The sequence below is a fragment of the Homo sapiens genome, chromosome 6, assembly GCF_000001405.40.
Source record: "Homo sapiens chromosome 6, GRCh38.p14 Primary Assembly".
Classification (NCBI taxonomy): domain Eukaryota; kingdom Metazoa; phylum Chordata; class Mammalia; order Primates; family Hominidae; genus Homo; species Homo sapiens.
In genome coordinates, this window is record NC_000006.12 from 147570371 (window position 1) to 147594532 (window position 24162).

At 39.3% G+C, this 24162-nt stretch overlaps 1 protein-coding gene across 1 annotated transcript in view; it reads left to right on the forward strand.

The window, feature by feature from the left end:
• The window catches only part of SAMD5 (sterile alpha motif domain containing 5), a 445991-nt gene that overhangs the window by 61681 nt on the left and 360148 nt on the right, over nucleotides 1-24162 (forward strand). The window lies entirely within an intron of this gene.

The following is a 24162-nucleotide window of genomic DNA, read 5'->3' on the forward strand; positions in this document are numbered from 1 at the left end:
ATGTGTTTCTGCTATGGTTCCTACAGCCCTGAATCTCTATCACCTGAAATGTGTTGTGATTCAACTACAGATAAGCAATATTTCCGTGTTCATTAGACGCAGAGTGCTGGATTTGAATCCCAGCCTTACTACTTTCTGGCCTCAGGACCTTTGGCAAATGGACTAACTACTGTGCATGCTTAACACAGTCACCAGTCCCCAGACATTAATTTGAAGAAGTTTTATCACAGTGTTTTGGGTTTTATATAAATGTCATCATGTGTAATGATTTGATTTTTAATCAAATCATTTAAATCAAATCATGTGCATGTTTTTATTCCCACTGGATGCAAAATGAGAAGAAAGTAAATTTAAAGCAAAAAAAATATATGGTAAATATTAGGAGAAATATGTACAAATTTGAATTTTAGAAATGAAAAGGACCTTAAGGATAACCTAGTCTGATTCATAAATTGTGTAGTTAAGAGACTAAGGTGCCAGGAGTGAGTTTGTGGCATGCCCATGATAACACCCCAGGTTGGTGGCAGACGATTGGCGTTCTTCCACATCCTCTAATCCTGGCTTTTGTCTGATGTCAAATCCTGGGAAGTATACCTAAAGGGTTCTGTGGCTCCTTCAAAAAAGACTCATTTTTCTAGAATGGACTTAGTTTGAACTTAGATCCCTGGTTTTTAAGACATAGTCATAGCCCTTTTGTTCATAAACTAAAGCTCCAAGCTGCCCCAGGGCTCTGCAGGGGCCAGCATTGTGGCTTGAAAACCTGATCTTTCAGCCTTAAAACCTTATGCTTCAGGTCCTCCTTGATCTGATAAGCATATTTAGAAAAGTTCACGATACTGGTGGACAGCCCTAAAATGTACTTTTTAAAAATGGGGAAATGTATGCCTGCAGTAAAGTTCACAAATAAGTGTTTGTTAAAGAATAGGATGGTTTATATCGTTAATGAAATCACATCACGTAAGTCAGCTTTGAAAACATCTTTCATCTGAATCTAGATAATGAATATCTTCTAGTTTCATTCCAGGCCATTCGCTGTCCCACTGAGGATTTTTTTTTAATTTAAAAGAGGAATCTTGAATAATTTTAAATGAAAAACTTACTCTACCCGCACCCCGCCCCCCTGCCCACCTCCTAGAGTTACCCTGAGGACAGAGTACATTCGTGTAATTATGGACACTTTTTTGACTAACTCGTCTATTTTAAAGTACATTCATGTACCAATGACAGGATGTCTGTGGAATCTCGTTTGTTTCTTGGCTGAATGATGAGCACCAATTGTGAACACTGTATATTCAGTGTACATTGTTTTAGATCCCTTTAGCTCAATCAATTTAACTTCAACTTCATTTTGGAAGTTAATTAATCTACATAATAGCATTTACAAAAATAGCCATTTTGAGTGAAGAATATACATTTAATTTAAAAAAATCCTTGCCTATAAATCAGAAGTCCTTAAATCCAGTCTCTTGGTTTTCCTGGTGAGCAGAGCTGTCTAAGTCACTTCCTTTTACACCTTCAGTCTCCCATCTGCAAAAGTGCTCAGTGGACAGCATTGCTAAACACACCCTGTGAAAGGTTTGAGACACAGATGGGATCTGTGAGTAATTTCAACTTTTTTTTTTTTTTTGATGACCTCCACCAGGCCATCAGTACATCTGGTTTGTCCCACTGGGTTTGTTCCCCACTTGGTGCTTCCCTCGTTCCTAGTGTATTATCTGGCATGGTGCAGGTGCTCAGTAGTATTGTAGAATGAATGAAGGACTAAGTGAACTTTCTCATAAGCCTGAAGAAACTGAATGTTGAGGTTATGTGAGATGGTTAGACAGGGCATTTCCTATTTTCGGGGAACCTGAAGGAACCACTGTGGCTTTGTGTTGGAAGGATAGTGGCTTTCTCCCCTATACATGGGAAACCAAGTTTCTCCTTTTTGGAAGTTCACTTTATGGTGTGATTTTGTTATTATTCAGATTTTCTGACTTTCCTGTTTACTTTTGTATAAAACCATAAATGCAAATAAAATTCAAAAAATAAAATTTTATAAACTCAATTAGGTTTTCTGTTGCAGAAATGTAGTAAACATTGTAATTTGTGAAAGCACACGAAAAATACTGAAATGACACAGTGAGACAGGGTCTCACCCTGTCACCCTGGCTAGAGTGCAGTGGTATGATCGTGGCTCACTGCAACCTCAAACTTCTGGGCTCAAGAGATCCTCCCACCTCAGACTCCCAATGTTGCACTATTTGAATTAAGATTTTCTTTAGATCATATATTCCTACTGTGAATTATGAGAGGGATATATGCAATTAAAACTAATAATCAATTGATTTCTGCAATTATAGCTAATCAAACTATAGTTAATGTACTTAATCACATACATGTTAGTATATGGTATACTGCCAGACAAAATACCAAGACATTTTGATGTGTCTTGCACAAACCCTAATTTCCCTCTTAGATTACATTTTGGACACATCCCCTTTTGGATATATTTGATATAAATTTGTGACCCATAATTTTGTCCCTGGAAATAATTATTTCTTCCCCAAAGGGTACATCTACCCTGTACCAAAGTAAAGGCAAAAAAGAGTGAAGTAGTTAAGAACAGTCCAGGGTCATTCAGATCTGACTTTGAATCCCACAAAGCTGCTGAGAATTACAATTGCTTGCCTTAAGAATGAGCTTGCAACTCTGCAGTCATTATGTGTCTTGTTTTCCTTTTCTTCCTCTGATATATACGGATTACATGGGAGCCAGAAATGGACATGAGAGCTTTGAAGTCACACAAACCTGGATACAAAGCCCCGTTCTTCACACCTGGCTGTGTATATTAGTCCATTCTCACACTGCTATAAAGCTACTACCTGAGACTGGGTGATTTATAAAGGAAAGTGGTTTAATTGACTCACAGTTCCACATGGCTGGGAGGCCTCAGGAAAATTACAATCATGGTGGAAAGTGAAGGGGAAAGCAAGGACTCACAGGGTGGCAGGAGAGAGAAGTGCAAGCAGAGGAAATGCCAGATGCTTATAAAACCATCAGATCTCGTGAGAACTAACTCACTATAATGAGAACAGCATCAGGGAAACCGCCTCCATGATCCAGCCACCTCCCATGAGGTCCCTCCCTTGACACATGGGAATTATAGGGATTACAATTTGAGAAGAGATTTGGGTGGGGACACACAGCCAAACTATGTCACCATGTGACCTTACATAAGTTACTAAATCCTTTCCAGTCTGTTCTGTTATCTGAAAAGTGAGGTTACTAATAGCCCCATCAGAGGGTTTCTGGGAAAACTTAGCAAAATGAAATGTAAGATAATGATAGAGGATTTTGTATTGGAGGAACACAAGTCCTTACTACATATCAGCTGGGCAGTAGAATGTGGAGGGTGGGAACAGAAAAGAAGTTTGTGACTCATTAATGAAAATTGTTTTCAAGATATGCTAGAATAAAAGCGTACATTCATTGCCAGGCACGGTGGCTCACGCCTGTAATTCCAGCATTTTGGGAGGCCGAGGAGGGCAGATCATGAGGTCAGGAGATCAAGACCATCCTGGCCAACGTGGTGAAACCCCATCTCTACTAAAAAAACAAAAACAAAATTAGCCGGGCGTGGTGGCAGGCACCTGTAGTCCCAGCTACTAGGGAGGCTGAGGTGGGAGAATGGCATGAACCCAGGAGGCGGAGCTTGCAGTGAGCTGAGATCGCGCCACTGCACTCCAGCCTGGGCGATAGAGCGAGACTGTGTCTCAAAAAAAAAAAACAAAAAACTTACATTCATTACTCAATTACAAAACACAAACATCAAAAAATATGGTTGCCAACACTAAAAAAAAAATTAATATGTGCCCAGGTTAATTCAAAGCACTTTCCATGTATTATCCCATTTAATCTTAAGATTATTCTCATTCTACAGATGAGGAATCTGAGGAAAAGATGGGTTTTTCATAATTTACCCAATGTAACACAGCCAGTAACCAAGAAAGTTAGAATTGGAATCTCAGCAGTGTGACTTTAGGCCTGTCCTCTTAACCTTTATTTATCTTCTGTAGGGACTAAACTTAATGCAGAATCAAATGTAAGGACCACATATCAAGAAGCAGGACAGTAGAAGATTGACAAAGTTCTCAAAAAAGAGGGAGTGCTTGAGGGTTGAGGAGACCAGATGAAAATGGTGTCTTAGTCTGATTTGTGCTGCTATAACAGAATGCCTGAGACTGGGTAAAGAATAGATATTTATTTTCTCACACTTCTGGAGGCTGGGAAGTCCTAGATCAAGATGCCAGCAGGTTGGGTTGTCTGGTGAGGGTTGCATTCTCCAGAGAATGTTGGCTGTGTCATCACATAGCAGAAGGCAGAAGGGTAAGAGACTGAATGTTTTGTGAAGCCTCTTTTATGAGGAACTTAATACCATTACTGAGGGAGCACCCCTCATGGCCTACTCATATTTTAAAGGCCTCACCTCTTAATACTATCACATTGGCAACACCTGAATTTTGAAGGGAACATATTCAAACTGTAGCATTCTGTGTCAGATATACTGCATTTCATCAAATCTAAGATGAAAAGCACCACCAGTAAGTACCATTAAGAAAGGAGAATGCTGCCAGTTTAACTATATTAAAAGTTTACAATATGTTTTCCATTTAGATTTTTATTTTCAACTTACTGATAGAGTTATCTTAGGCTTATTTCTACATAGATATTTATGATTTATCAGTTGAACATACATAACAATGAAAGCAAAGCTAAGTAAATGTAAGGTAATTCTATAGGACTTTTGTAGGCAGTTTCTTCTGAATCTTTTCAATTCATGTCCATCTATGGCCCTGTTGTCCTCACAGGTTCTCTGGCCCAGGGAGGCATTGCTAAAGTAGCACTTCAGAGAGCCCCTCTGTCATATCTGGATTTCATCCAAACCTTTCTATGCATTTATATGCTGGAACTTTCTTGATCTCCCCAGAAGCTGTCTGCAGAAAGTTTTCAGACAGTAACTCATTCTTTTCTCAAATGGCCATTAAATGGTTTCTTGGCTCAAATGTGGGTTGCAGCTCTGCATTTGTGCCACCACGAATGGCAGCCATATTTGTGTGTTTGCACATTGTGGCAACTGTATCAATAGCTGCCAGTCAAAATTGACTATAATTCTCCATCTCCTGTTTTCAACTCTGGTTTCATACGTGTTAAATTTGAAAATATGTGCATTCAAATCAATGAAATTACAAGGAAATTCGGACCATCCATTTCATTTTACCAACTGTCCCTTGACTTTGATAATGATATATTAGTCATTTTGCGTGTAACTGCCTGAGACTCAGAATAAGAATATCTTTTGATATATTTTGTAGTTGACTCTCTGCTAATATTATTCTCCAGTGGGTCTCTGACATGATTTACCCTGTGGATACACAATACATACCGGTTGTGTTTGGCTTACTGCCATTATTCTGTATTTCATGGAGCTCCCTGGCTCATGGAAAGTCTTTAAATCATTATTTAGACATATTTTATAGAATTTAGCACCTTCCCTCATGGAACAATATCAATTTTTTATTTTATTATTTTAATTTTTAATAATAATGCCTGATTATAGCGTTACCCCTTGCATTACCAATACACACACCCACTACTGGAAGCAGAGCAGGAGTTTGTTCTCACTGCTGGTTCAGGGCAAGAAATACTATGTTTTCATTAGAATTCTAAGTGGCAGCTCAAAATTTACTATTTGGCCTTTAAATATTAGAATTCTGTTAAAATATTTTAAACTTTTTTTTTTTTTTTGAGATGGAGTCTTACTCCTGTTGCACAGGCTGGAGTGCAGTGGCACAATCTTGGCTCACTGCAACCTCTACCTCCCGGGTTCAAGCAATTCTCCTTCCTCAGCCTCTTGAGTAGCTGGGATTACAGGCGTGCACCACCATGCCGGGCTAATTTTTGTATTTTTAGTAGAGACGGGGTTTAGCCATTTCGGCTAGGCTGGTCTCGAACTCCTGACCTCAGGTGATCCACCTGCCTCGGCCTCAAAGTGCTAGGATTACAGGCGTGAGCCACTGTGCCTGACCAAATATTTTCAAGTTTTAAGATGTTTTCAGGAGCTTTTAGACTTCCATTCCTTTATGCTCAGAGTCTGTGTGGTACAGTGGAAAGGGGGTGGGGCTTTGGGACCAGGGAGAAAGTGGCCTCACACTCTTCACTACCAGGTGGCCTTCATTAAAAAATACCAAGTGCTTTCACTAGTCAAGGCAAGTTATGTACAAGTTTCATTCAATCCTTCTAGCAACCCAATAAACAATTGTTGTTACTGATCCATTTTACAGGTGAAGAAGCTAAGGCACAGAGAGTTTAAGTACCTTAGAAAATTAACTTCTGTTATCTGTGATGTCCTTAGATTTATAAAACAAAGACTTGCTATATTAGCTGTAACATGCATAAAGCACACTGCACATATTTGGTGACTGAAATGGAATCTAATTTTATTACACTGGTTTTTAATTGCTTTTATCCTCCATTCCCCAAGGAGTATTAAATTGCCCTTTGAAATAGCCTTACAGATTCTAAGAGGAAAATACACTTTTTAGAATTTTAAAACTGGAATAAAAATAACTTTCTATTACACAATTTGATTCTACCTGTTTTGTCTTATGTGATTGATAATCCTCATTTTTTAAAATTAAGAAAACCAGTAGGCAGCTTCATACCAATGCCCAGGATTTCCTACTGCCTGCAAATCTTCTCCTTCATGCCTAAATTGAAGGAATTTGTACTTCACAGTGATGAAAGTCTTTTTTCAGTGGATCTTTGGGTGAGGCAAGCTAACATCGTCTATACTTTTGTGAATCAATAACCGTCTTGCTGAATGCATAACTTCTAGTAGTTCTTATCTTTATAAAACTTCCATGTCCACATTAGAAATATTCCTTTTAGAAAACGTTTGTCATTGCCCCTACCAATACAAAGAAGAGTAATATTTATACACATGTTTAAAAGAGAAGTTAATTCAATAATTTGATAGGTGTAATTAATTAAGGCATAGTTTTGGAGAAACATTACAATAATTGCCTCAAATTTTTGAGCCTGTCTGTCCTCCTTTCTTCTTTCCCTCATTCCTTTCTTTCTTTCTTTTTTTCTCTCTTTCCTTTTTGGAACCTACAACTAAATGAATTGAATATATCTCTTTTAGCCTACAAATCCTATTCATCTGCTTTTATTTTTCTATGCTTTAATATCCTTCCAAGTACATTTGAAGAATAAGTAAATATATTTTCTAAAAATCTTGGCACATTTCCTGGTTTTGAAGGCATGAGGAGAGAGTTGGCAAAAAAGTGATTTTTGAATGAAAATAAATCTATCCTTACACTTAAAATCCCCAGAGGCATCATTGATATAAACCAAAATAGCCATTTTCATAAGGAAAATAGCCAGGTTTTATGTACTTTTGATGATAGAGTGTTTTTAAAAAGGCTGTAGCAACTGAATATATATGTAAATCTAGTGTATAGTATTTCCACATCACAAACCATAGCATAACCTAAACCAATAATTGGAAAAGAATAAACCAATGAAAGCTATATTCTAGAATCAGGTACACTATTACAAAAGTTCAGTCTACCAAAATAACAGATCTGTTAAATGCAATTTTAGGAACAAGGCAAAGCTTCTTACTCTGCCATGCAATGGAGAGAAGTCGAAATGCATTTACAAAGCTCACTTTCCAAAGTTATATATAGTAGAGAGAATCAAGAAGGATAAGAAAGAGCCATGCATTTAGTTTACTGTCCATCAGAAGAGGTTTCTCTCTACTTTATAAATTTTTTGAATCTTGCCTTTGAATTTTTTGACTCTAATTATTAGTTGCTTAAAAGTTATTTTGATACCATGCTATTTAGTTGTGTTGTTAGTAGAATGTTCTGTTTCTCTCTCTCGTATAATTTACCTGACTTCATAAACAGGAAATAATGTTGAGCAACTAACGTGTCATACCCATTTCCATTCCCACATCCTTGAAGAAGAGTGATCCTAAGTTACAATAAAAACATGCTCTGACTAATGCTTCTCTCTGTTCACTTTTGTAGATAGTGAGGGAGCTTTAAAAATCACATCAGTTATTAAAAATTCCATGAGAATATGTCTTTATAATAAGGGATGAATTTGTTCTTTTTGTTATTCATAAATAATCCTGAAGGATTATCTAATTGCAGAAAACAATTAATTTTCCCTTTAATGGTTAAATTGATTATAGTAGACATGGAGAATGATAAATGTCAGTAGGTTGTAGGTCATGTTAGGTACTAAAATGCCTAAAAAACAATTTGGTGTTCATAATCATAGGCAAATATATGGCAGGTGTTAAAAGTTGTTTGTGGGTAATAATCATTTATATTTCATACAGAACATCAAAAGTAATATCTGCGAAGTAAAAAAAAAAAACCCAATCTATATTTGTTACATATGATGAAACACACTGCTTCAAAGGAAAGAAGAGTTAGACATGGGTTTGAATTTCATTCTGCCACCTAAGTCCACGTGGTCTTGGGCAAGTTACATTGCCTGCCTCAGGATAATATAAATAATTTACCTAGTTCTATGCGTAGTAAATGTTCAGTAGGTGTTAGCTATCATCATCATAATTCATTTACATATTTGACAAATATTAAGACTGTATGATGAATCAAGTCCTGACAAATTCCTAAACAATCCAGTTTGAGAACAACTGATTGAGCAGTATGCCCTGCAGGTACTGCATTGGTCTCTGAGGGAACACAAGGAGGAATGAATAAAGGATTTACCATAAGTAAGAGGAGATAGCCATGCAGAGAACTTAATCTCTATCAAAACAGAGTGGCACCAGTGTCAAATAAATTCCTGATACATGCTTACATACTGGGAAAGTAAAGAGAAGATGTATATAACTGAGATGAACAGTCTTAAAAGATTGGTAGGATTTTGATGAGCATAAAGGGACAAGAGTGCAAGGTGTTTTGTGGAAGAAAAGTGATTGGCCAGTGGCTTTGCAGTCTAGGCTGAGGAGAAGAATAAAAGCGAAGATATGCCTGCGATAGTTTGGAAGCAGGCTTTGAATTTTTTTTTTTTTTTTTTTTTTTTTTTTTGAGACGGAGTCTCACTCTGCAGTGCAGGCTAAAGTGCAGCAGTGTGATCTCAGCTCACTGCAACCTCTCCCTCCCAAGTTCAAGCAATTCTCCTGCCTCAGTTTCTCGTGTAGCTGGGACTACAGGCATATGCCTGGTTAATTTTCATATTTATAGTAGAGACGGGTTCCACCATGTTGGCCAGGCTGGTCTTGAATTCCTGGCCTCAGGTGATCCACCTGCCTCGGCCTCCAAAAGTGCTGGGATTACAGGCATGAGCCACTGAATCAGGGCCCTGCCCTGAATTCTTAAATGTTATACTTGGAGGGCATATTTTATTTTATAGGCTGGGTATTTTCCAACTTTCTTTAGGCTTATGAATGATGCCCAACATATTTTCATGCAACAAATATGTGTGGAATCCTTACTCTGTGCCAGGCGCTGTTGTAAATGTTAGAACAAACTAGATTTAACTCCTATCATCATGGAGATTTTCTTTCTAGAGAAATATAGTGTGGGCAATTGAATGCTGGCTACTACTTTCTCCTTCACGCAGGAGGGAGTATCAAAATGCAAGTCCCTCATAATTTGATTATGATAGGAAGAGTCTAACTCATAACAATGCACACCATGCACAAAATGTTGCTTTAAATACAGTTGTTAGCAGATTGTTAGTGCACTCAAAATCAAGGCCAACTCTTCTGAGTGTCTGGACCCCAGCACTGACAACTGCTGCTCAGGTCTTCCAGGAGGGCAGTAGTGTAACCTGAGAAAGAACCAGAGAATGTTAATGTCAAGGCCAGTCTCAAGTTCCTCTGAACACTACCATTCCACCAGGTCAGGGACAACCTTTTCCTAAACATCCCCTGACACCTCTTACTTACTTATCAGACCTCCTCTTACGTTATAAAGGCCAAAGACATAGTTATTTCCATTGTAAATTCACCACTGGGCTTTTCCTCTCTCATTATATCCTACCTCTCTTTGTTTTATTTGCCATTCTCATTTCTGTAATTATATTTGTCTAGACTAGCACTGTCAAATAGGACTTTCTGTAATGATGGAAATGTTCTATTCTGCGCTGGTCACTGGGGTAGCCCCTAGCTAGCCATGTGTGGACGCTGAGCATGTGCAATGTAGCTAGTGTGACTGAGGACTAGACTTTAAAATTGTATTTCATTTTAATTAAATAGTCATGTATGGCCAGTGGTAGCATATTAGCACAGGTCTAGATGTTCATGAAAATGTCCAATTCTGTATTCTATTTCCTTGACAATATATATCTGGTGAATTCTTACATTCAGTTTATCTAGCTTTTAAAGACATAAATTTCTTTTTTGCAGCTAAACTATGATTTTTTTTTTTTAATTCTCACGTAGTTCTAGGAGCAGGAAAGTAGTAGAGAATGTCACTCTTTGTCTACACCTGACCTTGGAGTCATAGCAGCAGCCAGGAAAGAGACGCTATGTTGGGGGTAAAGCTCTGAGGTGGCTTTTTATTCTAATCTACCTCTTGACATTCTCTAGCCAAGGAAAAGAGCAGTTTTTTCTATTTTTGTCTCTTTTTCTCTTTTCTCCAAAGAGGCTGCCTAAGGTAAGAACTGCAAGAGGAAAGAGGTAGCTCTGCTTAGATAACAGTGTACTTTAAACTGTGATGTGATCCCTCCTCACTGCTTCCTGTTGCTAATGGATGTGGGACGAAGGAGAAGGAGCAGACGTATATGGCTTGACAGGTGACTCCATGCATGGCACCATTCATTCCTAAATCATGTGCAAGAGAAAGAATACATTTGTAGGGCAAGGGGGATAATGGGCTCCCTTTTGGGCATGTTGAGTTTGAGGTCTTTATGTTGAGATATGTCCTTGGAAGTTACCTATATGTGTGCATCTCTGGAGAAAGATCTGTCCTGGAGATGAATGTTGGGCCAGGGTCATTGGTATATGCTAATTAAACCACAGGAAAGGATAAGATGGCCCAGGGACAGCGGGAAGAGTGAGGAGAGGATGAGTGATGAAACATAGCCAGAGCACCAACATTGAAGTGATGGATGGAGGAACAGGAAGGAGCTTTGAACCAAGTAGGAGGGCAAAAACCAAGAGAAGGCAGTCACCGAGGATGAAAGGGGAGACAAGTCCAAGATAAGGAATGTTCAACAATGCCACCTGCTGTGGGACTGTCAAGGTAATGGAAGGACTGTAAAGTATCCATTAGGTTGAGCCCTATGACGTAGAAATCAGAGACCTCAGTGAGAACGGTGTCAGAACAGGTGACAAGGGTTCGAAGGATGGGTGGAAGGTGAGGAAACAAAGATAAAAAGTATAGAGAGCTTAACTATTTGGCTGTGAAGAGAGGGAGCTGGAATAGCTATACCTGGTGGGGCAGGAGGATGAGAGGTGGGTGGAGAGTTTGTTTTGAAAGTAGATTAGAGTATGTTTAAATACTGGTGGCAAAAAGAGGGGTTGGTAGACAGTGGATAAAGACACAGAAGGGAATGAGATCATTAAGGAGCCAGCCCTTGAAAAGGGAGGAGGTTGGGGTCTAGAGAACAGGTGGTGAGAGACACATTGACCTAGGCAGAGAGAGGGATGACTTTCAGTTTAAGATGGAAAGGATGGGCTGGACACGGTGGCTTACACCTGTAATCCCAGCACTTTGGGAGGCCAAGGTGGGTGGATCATCTGAGGTCAGAAGTTCGAGACCAGGCTGACCAACATGGTGAAACCCCGTCTCTACTAAAAATACAAAAATTAGCTGGGCATGGTGGTGCGCACCTGTAATCCCAGCTACTTGGCTACCTGGGAGGCTGAGGCGGGAGAATCACTTGAACCCAGGAGGTGGAGGTTGCAATGAGCTGAGATCCGCACCCCCCCACCAAAAAAAAAAAAGGAAAGGATGGGTGTGGCTGCAGATAAGTTAATAGGCTCAGGAGATGGTGGTTGAGAGAGGTCCTGTCTCTGTGCCGGCTTTGCCAAAACTAATTTTATATCTAAGAGTCTATATATTCCTCAAGTGACTTTTATGTTTGAATGGGGCTAATGTAAACGTTCTCATAAAAAGCATCCCAGTCCAAGTGAGTTGTGCATTTGAAGTCGGCATGGGGCTTTAGGAAAGCCGACTTGTCCAGTCTCATCTGCAGAAGGACTTCTTAGCAGCGGTCAGTTTTGAAGCTCTAAAGTGAAGCGGAGCTTTAGGTATTTCCCCTTGACTAAAGTGAAAGCCAGAATCAAGCACAATACTTGTTTTGGCTTTTTCTCTCTGCCGTTTCTATTGGAAGTGCATGATTCTAATTTTGAAAACTATAAAAACGGTCCTGGAATGCTTAAGGTGCAGAGCCCTAAGCAGAGAGTGAGGCTTGGGGTTGGGTCAGCACTGTGTTCATTGGCCCAGTGTTCATGGTCAGCAGCACTTGTTTGTGAGGACAGTGGGGTCTGTAACGTGTGCCTACCACAGTGTACAGCTCAGACGTGACCTTTGCAGGTCCTAGAAAACACATGTGTTTCAGGCACATGGAGTGTGTTGGGATCTGGGTGGCATCAGTGTCTGAGAAAACCTTGTTATGCAAAATGAAAATATAAATAAACATTAAAAGACTTAAAGATTTCTTAAAGCAACATACCCTTTCATTAAATAAAAACAGGACATATAAAATCCATATCTAGTTTTACACATAGACATTTCATTCTGTGAATATCTCTCTAACATGAAACTGAGCAGCTGTTTCTCCAGATGCCACATCAGGGCTCTGAAGGGAATTGTTGCTAAATCCAATACCATAGTTAGCTAGATATCGAAAGAAATGCTACAAGATGTATCTGATCTAATCAGTAAGCCTCAATGAACTAAAATTTAAACACACAGCATGGAATTAATGTGAGAATTTGGATTACATTCTAAACAAGTGGAATGTAATTGCTAGGCCTTTGAGCTTACCACATTCTAATTTTTATTATTTAAAACGTATTAAGGATCCATCACAAGAAACCCTCTTTGTTTTTTCTACAATCAGTTGTCATTGTGGCAGCCAATTGTTTTGAGAGAGAAAGTACAACATTATTATTTATGAGAAAGAGCTGACACACACAATCCATATATTTAGCTGACTCTGATATGCCTGGACCAGCATATTAAATTACATAGATAACTACTTGGAAGATAGATCTAGAAGGTTACAGGTAATTTTTAATGCAGGAACCATCAGCCCTGTACTGAAATGAGAAAATACTCATCAACTACTTTATAACCTGTTGCCATTCTGCCCCATAGAACGGTAAAATGAACAGCGGGAGAAATTTATGCTCTAGGTCTGTTGGTCTAGAATGAGTGACCTGATAAAAGGGAAAAAAGTGGAATTTTCAAACACACACACACACACACACACACAAAATGGCTATTTACCTTGAAGAAATTTATTAGTAAAAACAACTAGTCAATCCTCTTTGACAAATACATGATAAAGTTCTTGAGTATCTTTCCATTTCTAAAACAAGTATAAATAAAAATGTTCATTTATATTGCCAAGTTTAAGAAAGACTTTAAAATGCTCTGAAGTACTTCAGAGCATATGATTTTAGAAAAAAATATATATATAGTCTACACATCTAGGAAAAATACTGGAAAGTCAAATGGCAGTGTGTTAACAATTCCTATCTCTGATTGGTGTGACTATAGGCATTTTTATTATTTTTCCTTTATTAGTGAATATCAGCATTGAGCATGTATTACTTCCATACATTAATATATTATTAATATAACCCACTAAACAAGTAACACCCTAAGCATTTCGTAGACTGTGATGGGAGGTTCATAAACATCATTCAGATGATGTTAACCAAGCACTTGCTTTTGTTTGTCAAAGAACTATCTTTTGCCTTTATCTTGTATTATATTGATGAGGAAATTCTTTAATCTTTGTGATTTGATCTACTGCTTCTGTCACTCTTTGCCATGGATGCTTCTTATCCTCATGCCAAAGACCACAGCATCGGAGTACTGGACAGTGGCCACTTAGCCTGCAGCTGGCTCAGCCCATGTCCTCCCCCAGCTTCCCAAAGGCCTGGACTAGCCAGGGCTGCCCTGGCCTCACCACCATTGCCTTGGCCAGTTCCTAGCCCATAGTCCTTATTATCAGCTAATGAGGATCCGAGACAGTGCCAGCTGTAGGTGGCATTTGTTCATCTGATTCACATGGCATTTTATCAATGATGAATTAATAGGTGCATTACAATTATATACATATTTTGTTAGTGTAATATGCCTTCTTAGAATAAATAAATGAGGGTATGTATTGTCCTTTAGAGAGTTTCAGACCACTAATTAGATTAGCTCTGAAAGTTAGCAAAATATAACATGTGTGTTATCCATGGCAAATATGTTACCAGCTATAAAACCTTTATTAGAAAATGTGACAGAAAGGAAAGAAGGCACATGAGAGAAAAATCTGTTGATTTTGCAAAAGTAGCTGCTGGTGAAAATAGATGTTACAAACCAATGGTCCTTAATACTTCAGGATGCCTAAATGTATGAGTATACTAGAAGCATTTGGAGGATGGGAGAGAGCTCTTCTATAAATTGTACCCACTCATGTTGACTCTATGTGCTTTGTCCCCAACCTCCACTCAATGTCTCACCCACTTCCATGAGCCACTCTTACTTATGAGAGGTGTGTCGGGGCAGGCAAAAGATTGAGACCCATTAATAGTGACATAAGAATCTGGAGAATATCATGGCGCTTAGATGGAGGATCTGTTCTGGAGAGGGGTGGAAGCGAGTGGAGGATTTTTAAACATTGACAAGTTCAAGTGAAAAGTTATAGAGATAACTCCAAATGCCACTGTAACTATTATCAGAGGGAATGGAGACAGGAAAGGATGAGGCCGGTGACATTACAGCATGAGCCCCTGCCAACAGGTTTAGTCAGAAAACATTTCCCCAAAGTCAATAACTGATCTCACCAAACAGAGTAAGAGTTTGCTCTTAAGAGCTGTGACGGGCTCAGTACTGACTCTTACGAACTCTATGTAATGGGCAAGAACTTAGTAATGGGAAGGCACCAGAGGACTCCTGTTTAGAAGGTGCATTAACTCTCTTAGGCCACTAGGAATTTATTTAATAAATTGCTATTCTAGCATAGGAAATCACCCCTTCATGGCCTGAGAGAAAAGTGTTCCATAGAGTAGCAATTTACTCCCCTCTTGGCAGGAGGAACAAGCCCCATATACAATATTAAAAACCAGCCATTTCTTCATCATTTAAAAAAGAATTCTGAGTTTTGGTCTTTAATTACTTGCATACAAATTCTATTTGATGGATTTCTAAAGAACTTTGATTTTCTTAAGACCTCGTGCCATTTCACTTTTGAGAGAGAGAATATATACATACATTCACACCGTGAAGGCTAAAAACAGCTGGTGAAAAAGTAAAAATTCAGTGTTGACATAAATCCTGTTGAAAGCATCTCAAAAAAGATAAAGGTTGTAATTTAAATCAAAGTTTCTTCATGTCGCAGTTCAGAGCAACATGGTCATGACAGAAAAAAATGGGTCACATCAAAGAATAAGGGGGTGAGTTTTAGTTGGGAGCTGAGATAGCAGTCTTCCTCAAGGATGGCCATTGTAGGGCGCCATGATTAATTAAGGTATCTGCCAGTCATCTGGGCTTCAATCATCACTTTGGAAAGGGCAGAAAGCCCCAATATTTACATAGGGATCATACGCTCATATTCACAGTGCTGCTGCTGCTTCTCTTGGCAGCCTGTGACTTGCTGGCAAAATGTCTTCAATTACGGGCAAACTGCCTAGTCTCATATCATCACAAACCAATTTGTCAGGGTGTGTGTATTTGGAAAGCTCTGGAAACAGAAATATTTTACTTATTTTAAGAGACTGGGGAGAAACCCTAGTACACATACATTCAAAAAATACCAAGTCTTACGAAATTTTACCCTTAGGTAAATATGCTTGTGCCCTCCACAAGGGAAAAAAAAGTAGAAATATCTATGTTGATGTTCATGTGAAACAGCTCTATGGATATTTACGGAGAAATTGTGGAATGGAGAGGCTAAAATCTCTCCACCTGGACTCCACATTTAAACTAATCAACGTTACCACGGTTTTTCTTTAAATAAGTCCATATTGTCTAGATATTTTTAATCACTATTTCTTCAATACTCTGTGATAATTGTGGGAGTTAAAGTATTAGATATAATAATTTATATTTTAAATAACAAAAAGATATAAATAATATAAAGATAAATAAATGACACATGGGATATGGAAAAGCGCCTACGGTAGCCAAAATAAAATAAAGTAAAAGACAATTACTGAAATAAAACTCCAAATGAGGAAATCTATTAGCATTCTTCCAGTTTTCTTTCTTCTCACTTTTCTCTTTCTCTGATATGTTATAAAATAAAATTTCAGAATTATGAGAACTAATAAACAATTATTTGTACATAAATTATATTAACACTAATTCCATTGTTCCTCATCTACAGTTTTATATATGATATTTTAAGCTTTGAAAAATATCTGCTTGCTTGCAGAGTTGATTGTACAGTGAATATCAACAAAATGAATGTTATTTTCCTGTTAGATTTAGTTTTGGGGTTTGAGTATTTATTTATTTGTGTGTTTACTTGTTTAATTCATATCTTTCCTGCTTGATTGTAAGTTTCCAGAGGGTAAGGACCATGTCTTTCTCATCACTATATTCTCAGCACCTAGAGCAATTGTAATTCCTGCTAAAAATATTTTTTCAATGACTATTTTTGTTTGTTTGTTTGTTTTTTGCTTTTTGAGATGGAGTTTCACGCTGTTGTCCAGGCTGGGGTACAGTGACGTGATGGCTGCTCACTGCAACCTCTGTCTCCCAGGTTCAAGTGGTTCTCCTATCTCAGCCTCCCCAGTAGCTGGGATTATAGGCATGTGCCACTGTGCCGGCTAATTTTTGTATTTTTAGTAGAGATAGGATTTCATCATGACAGCCAGGTTGGTCTCAAACTCCTGACCTCAAGTGATCCGCCTGCCTTGATCTCCCAATGTGCTGGCATTACAGGCATGAGCCACTGCTCCCGGCCCTTTTCAATGACTATTGATGCTGTTCTAGAAAAATATCATCTGGTATAAAAAATTGAAAATTTTGTAAAATAGATAATTTCAGTTGAGAGATCATCTACTCCCATGTTATAATGGCTATATTAATATGCCAACAGGGATATGCTTTTCTGGCTGGTGAATTTACTATAGAGTTACTTTTTCTCCTGCAGCAGTTTCAAGACTTGGTAGGACTTTTCGTCTTCTGGGCTCTCCCTTTGACTATTTGACGTAGTTTGTTCTTCCCAGTCTACCAGAGCAATCACTTATTTTGTTAAGTTCCTAGAACTTAACCTCCTTTCTCTATTTCATGTCTAAGTTTATAATAACAAATAGAGCTGAACTGTGAGGATTTATTTTTCTGAAGTATGTTCTACAACTTGGAAACTTTCAGTGTTTGAAGCTTTGCATTTTTCAAAATATGTCGTGGATCTACTGTTTCAACTTTTTAAATTTAGCTCTCTATACATAGATTTCTTTGAAGGAGATATGTGTGTGCTCCTAGGGTTTATAAATGAAAGCAAATAAATTAAGGGGAAACAAGCAATAATGTCAGGCAGTTGAAGGCTAAGGAACAAAGTCCAGGGTACAGTCACTTAAATCTCCCTCATTCATTCTCAAAAGGAGTTATTATAAGCTAATTAACAAATCTCGGTGGGAACTTGAAACATAGATGCATATCTTAATTTGTTTTCAAATAGTTTAATTAAATGCACAATATGAATAATATCGGCCATTTTTTTTTCCTTTACTTTGTTGGTTTTTTTTTTTTTTTTTTTGAGACGGAGTCTCGCTCTGTCACCCAGGCTGGAGTGCAGTGGCATGATCTTAGCTCACTGCAACCTCCGCCTCCCAGGTTCAAGCGATTCTCCTGCCTCAGCCTCCCAAGTAGTAGTCCCAATTAGGGACTACAGACGCACACCACGGTGCCCAGCTAATTTTTTTGCATTTTTAGTAGAGACAGGGTCTCATCATGTTGGCCAGGCTGGTCTCAAACTCTTGGCCTCGGGTGATCTGCCTGCCTCAGCCTCCCAAAGTGCAGAGATTACAGGCATGAGCCACCGCGCCCAGCCTGTCCAGTTTCAATGAATCATTTCAGTTCCCCAAATAAAATGTGTTTTTTTTTACTCTGTGATGCAATTTTGAAATAGCTTTTGGAAGATCACTACTATAACAGTTTGCTTATCAAGACGTTATACCAGGCTTACTTATTATAAGGATCACTTAACTTACGGAAACTGGTACTGGGTTGTTTTCCCCATCCATCTTTTTACTAATTTTCAATTCATGTATTGAGTACTCAAGTACTCAGTACTTCAATTCGTGAAATACGGTTATGATTTCATGTTACAGACAGCCTTGCTGGGGGACTATACCTTCTGGTTTATGCCTGTGGTCCTGGCATTATTATTATTATTATTATGAGATGAGGTCTCGCTCTGTCGCCGAGGCTGGCGTGCAGTGGCACAGTTGGAGTTCACTGCAGCCTTGACCTCCTGGGCGCAAGTGATCCTCCTGCCTCAGCCTCCCCAGTAGCTGGGACTACCTCATACCACCATACCCAGCCAATTTTTAAAAATTGTTCTTGTAGAGACAGGATCTCACTATGTTGCCAAGGCTGGTCTCAAACTCCTAGGCTCAAGCAATCCTCCTGCCTTGGCCTCCCAAAGTGCTGGGATTACAGGTGTGAGCCACCATGTCCTACCTGGCATTATTATTTTAACAATGCCCGTTTTCACTTTCAAAAGTTTAGACAGTAATTTATATGTTAGTCCATCTATAGGGACTTTTAAAACACCCTCCACATATTTTCCCCACTTCTCTCCACCTCTGATTCTCACAGACCAATCCTGTCTTTCTCAAATGTGCCACAGAGACAAATCTAGCTTAGCCAGTATGAAACATAAAGGATTAGGAGTTGGAGTCAGACTACCTGGGTCCAAATCCCAGCTCAGCCATTTTCTGTCTTTGTGATCCTGAGCAGGCTAGCCAGCCTCTCCAAGCCTCGGCGTCCTCATCTGAGCACAGGGGAATGGTAGTAGCACTTCTTAGAAAGGCAGTAAAATATAGCAGGTACCAACCTAGACTTTCATATCCAACTGCATGGGTATGACTCCACCATAACTTAAGGCTGTGACAGCATTAAACACATTGATAAATATAGTCTTAAAATATAGCTTGGCACATAAAAAGTGCTTAGCATATGTTAGCAATGGTTATTAGTGCTCTGAGGATTAAATATAGTATAAATGTGATGCCTAACACATAGTCAGCACTTACTTCATGAAATCCAATAATGTCACTGGATACTTACCTGGAATGTCTCTGGTTTCTATCCCTGCCTAATCCCAGCAATGATGTATTCTTCACAGATATTCTAAATATGTGCATACATTTGTATGTGCATAGGCCCGGAATTAGAAACTCTGAGCAGATATTGCTTTATCTCTCCAAATAGACTGTTCAGGGCTGCCAAATTGCAGTTAAAAATCTAGCAAAATGCCAGCACATTTCAAATAAGATGCAAATATGAAATTCACTTACTCTTAAAGGGTATATAAAGGCTTTGCTAAATTAGAAATGCAGAGAAGGGAGGTTTATTTATCCTGTTTATTTGAAGTGAGAGCCAGAATCATGATGGTTTAACAGTCCTAAATATTTCCTTGGGTTTTTGCAGGAGAGAGAGATTGTATTTATCTCTTAAAGGCCCATACCTATCTCCACAAAGGAACTAGGAGTAATTTTATTTACTTAATGTTTCTCAAAGAAACCCGTGATAGCTGGGTCTGTGTTTTTCTCATTTAAAAATCCACCTACATAGCATAGTGTTTAGCTCATTGTATGCCCTCAGTAACGGTTATTTGTTTGTTTGTTTTTTGAAACAGAGTCTTGCTCTATTGCCCAGACTGGAGTGCAGTGGCATGATCTCAGCTCACTGCAACCTCCGTCTCCCGGGCTCAAGCAATCCTCCCACCTCGGCCTCCTGAGTAGCTGGGATTACAGGCACGCACTGCCATGCCTGGTTAATTTTTGTACTTTTTGTAGAGACAGGGTTTCATCATGTTGCCTAGGCTGGTCTCGAACTCCTGAGTTCAAGTGATCTGCCCGCCTCAGCCTCCCAGTGCTGGGATTACAAGTGTGAGCCACTGCGCCTGGCCTCAGTAACTGTTTAATATACCAAGACTAGATGAATGATTGACTTCTTTATTGGAAATAATACTGCTTTGGTAAAGCGAATGCTTTCTCAGAAATGATTTTCACCTAGAAAAATCTAATGGTTACCTACTGGTATCTGTTTTCCTGTAAGAAGTAACTAAATGGTAATAAATTGTTTTATTTTTAAAATGTGGTCAAGGACTTAAGATTATTTTGACATTGGATGTTATTTATCTTTGTTGAAATGTATTCAAGGTTAAAATGAAATGAACCTTATAACTTTATGTGACTTTTTCTCCTGGGTGTATTAGTGCTATTCTTCGAGGTCTTTTAAAAAGCTGTTAAACAATGTAAAACCACGGAGACAATAGACAGAAAAAATTACTTATCTAAGACAGACTTTTACCCATATTGTTTCCATAAGAGCATCAATTTATGGGGGAAAAAAAAAAACCCAAGATGGGGAAAAGGTCAACAGAGCAACTACCTCTCTTAAAATCAACCATTTCACAGAATGCTCATATTGATAAGAAAAGCACTTCACTCTTCAACCATGATGGTTTCAGTGTATAACTCAAAAGAGGTGGAACTCCAGTGGCATATAAAGCTGCTTCAGAGCGTGCACTACCTGATTGTCCTTGTATCCCTCACGTGCCCAGCACGGGACCCTGCACCTGCTGGCGCTCAGGGAGTGTTCACTGAATTAAAGAGGGTCACCGCACTCGGGAGGGGTCGGCCACTGTTGGATGTGTCAGTTTTCTTTCTTTCTTCCCACTTACATACTAAGAACAGAGTTCACTAATGTGAAATCTGCTTGACCTGCTGGAATATGTGACACTTTATGCATAGTTTTAAACATTTCCTCATGACAAACTTACATCTTATGGCTTGCACTATAAGGATGGGCATTCTAGCACAAAACCAATTCAGTCATACATCTGGATAAAAGGCTGTTCAGTTTTCCATGGAAATGGGGATTTTATTCATTTAGAAATAGGGGATTTTCACTAATTTGAAAAAGCTAAGGATATAAAGATGTCTGTGGCATTTTTGGAGAATGACTGAAGCTGTGACAAGCATATAGCATCTACATTTACAGGTCACCCTGACCCCCAGGGAAGCACCTCCTTCAGGTGCTTCCCCAGAGCCTTCTCAGAGTTCCTGTGCCACCTCTGAGAAGGGCTCAGGAGGCGGTTTCCCTCAGCAAGCAGCTCTTCTGTCTCTAGAAGTCTCCCCAGTTTTTCTAGCCTGGTGGGTAAGATAGCCACGGGAGCATTAGGAAAAACAGATCAGAGTTAGTGCTGGAAAGTAGTAGAGAATTTTGCTCTCTCCTGAGGCCCTGACATGCCTCATCCTTTATGTTCAAGGAGGTGGGCTCAAGCGATCCTCCAGCCTCAGCTTCCTGAGTAGATGGGACTACAGACATGTACCACCACACCCAGGCAATGTTTTTATTTTTTTCTGTAGACAGGATCTCACTATGTTGCCCAGGTTGGTCTCCAACTGCTAGGCTCCAGCGATCCTCCTGCCTAAACAGGTATTTTCCTAAACAAAGACCTACCTTTTCTCCTATGAATTGTTCCACTCCCCTAGTGGCTGCAGAAGGTTTCTCTCCCACCATAGAAATGAAGAGGCAGCTAGAATGAAGTAGGGTCAGTCCAGGGAAAGAGGTGGGCGTGGGCTGCCATGGGAGTGCGGGAGAGGCACTTCACATGGTCGCAGATATTCAGGGATGGCTCCCAGAGGAAGAGGGGCATCTTGGTTAAGCAGCCAGCACATCCCAACACAAGAAATTGGCTCCTGTGGATTTAAAGAGTGAACATAATTTAAAGAATGACATCCAAATACACAAAGCTCTACTCAATTCAGATAGACTCTATGCTCGTAAAAGCCTAGGTTCATGTGTTAATAACACCCAGCAACTAGATGATGGTGATGATGATGAACATGTTCGCTCTGAAGGACTGGGCAAGATGCTTAGCATTTCTATGCCTCAGTCTGCTCTTCCGTAAAACAGATAATAATACCCATATTGAAAGGATGCATGGAGAATGTGTGAGAGAACATATGTTAAGTGTCCAGCCTGGGATCCGACATGGAGTAGGATTTATAGATGGTTAGCACAGCTATTACCAACATTCTTTTTTCTTACACTATATTCAGGATCCATAACATTCATCCACCATTGAGATCTTGAACCTCCTTAAGCCAGAGAACGCTCCTAGACTTTTGGAGCTAGAAGAGACTTCAGGATCATGTAGTCTAGGTGTTTGATTTTTTTAACAGCTATGTGGTAGAGTCCTGGGATACTGCAGAGGTAATTAAGGTTGTGAGGGATTGGGTTTGGGTTCATGTGTTGGGGAAATGGTGTGGTAGAGGGAAGCGGCTTTATTCGATCTGGCCAGAAGTTAGTGGCTGGGACTGGAATCCAGCACTCATGCATTTGCTCATTTATTCACTCATTTATTCATTTTACTGAACATTAAGATCTTACTCTGTATCATGCACTAGGAAAATAAACGGCTTTATAGTCCCTAGCAAATTAGACCTGTCTCCCTATCCTAACAGAGCTGAGAGTCTAGTAGGGAGACAGACAACATACAAGTAAATATCCAAGTAAATGTATGATAAATGTATCATCAATACACTGAAGCAAAAGGAGAGGGAGGCTAAGGGGAAGGGGTGAGAAACCTACTTTAGATTAAGGAACCAAGAAAGGCCATCTGTTCAAAAAGTCACCGATTTAATAGAGCTTATAGAAGTGCCATAAAATGTTTGGTCAATAAATTTGGTATATTCTTTATAGCGAATGTGTTGGAAATAGTAACCAATGCCCCAGCTGTGTATTGAAGTGTTAGTATTAGTCACTTGCAATTGCCTGAATGCAGCGTTTTTCAAGCTGCCTTCATCTGAAGGTTTTTCAGAGAGTGACATAACTTGAACACAGATTTCTAAATGATTAAAACTGCAAAAGCATGCATCAAAGTTAGACTCTGCTGTGCTCGCTTCTCCATAGTCATGTCTTGAATTTGCTTTCCTTCTCCACATCTGAAGGCTTAGAGGACACATCCATTGTAGGAGCTCTAAGACTCTTTTGCAGACTCATCCCCATGAAAGTAAAATAAAAAAGCAACAGGCAGCTGGGCACGGTGGCCACACCTGTAATCCCAGCATTTTGGGAGGCCAAGGTGGGCAGATCACCTGAGGTCAGGAGTTTGAGACCAGCCTGGCCAACATGGTGAAACCCCGTCTGTACTAAAAATACAAAAATTAGCCTGGCTTGGTGTGCAGGTGCCTGTAATCCCAGATACTCAGGAGGCTGAGGCAGGAGAATCGCTTGAACCTGGGAGATGGAGGTTGCACTGAGCTGAGATCGCGCCACTGCACTCCAGCCTGGGTGACAGAGTGAGACTTGGTCTCAAAACAAAACAAAAAAAGCAACGGGAGCAAAAGAATAAAGTGCAACAATAAGCACTTCCATTTCCTAGTCTGAAGTAGACCATTTGTGAATTGTCAATAGCTGAGCACTTTGATCCCTTTTTCCCTCTCCTTTGCTCATCTCTCGCTCATTTGCTTGCTAAGATGCGATCAGAGTTAGGTAAGAGCAGAACGTGGAGAATGAAATAGTCTCTATTCCTTTTTGTTAACAGCTGTTGTAAAAGGTTTTGGGAGCAGAGAAGATTGAAGGTAAAATGAGACTATAACTAAGTTCACGGATAATGTCATTGATTTTAATTATGCCAAGTTCTGAGTAGCAGACATAATTGAGACCGAGTTTGTTCTACAAGTTTTTATCTAATCCATTATATTACAAAGGCAGGTAT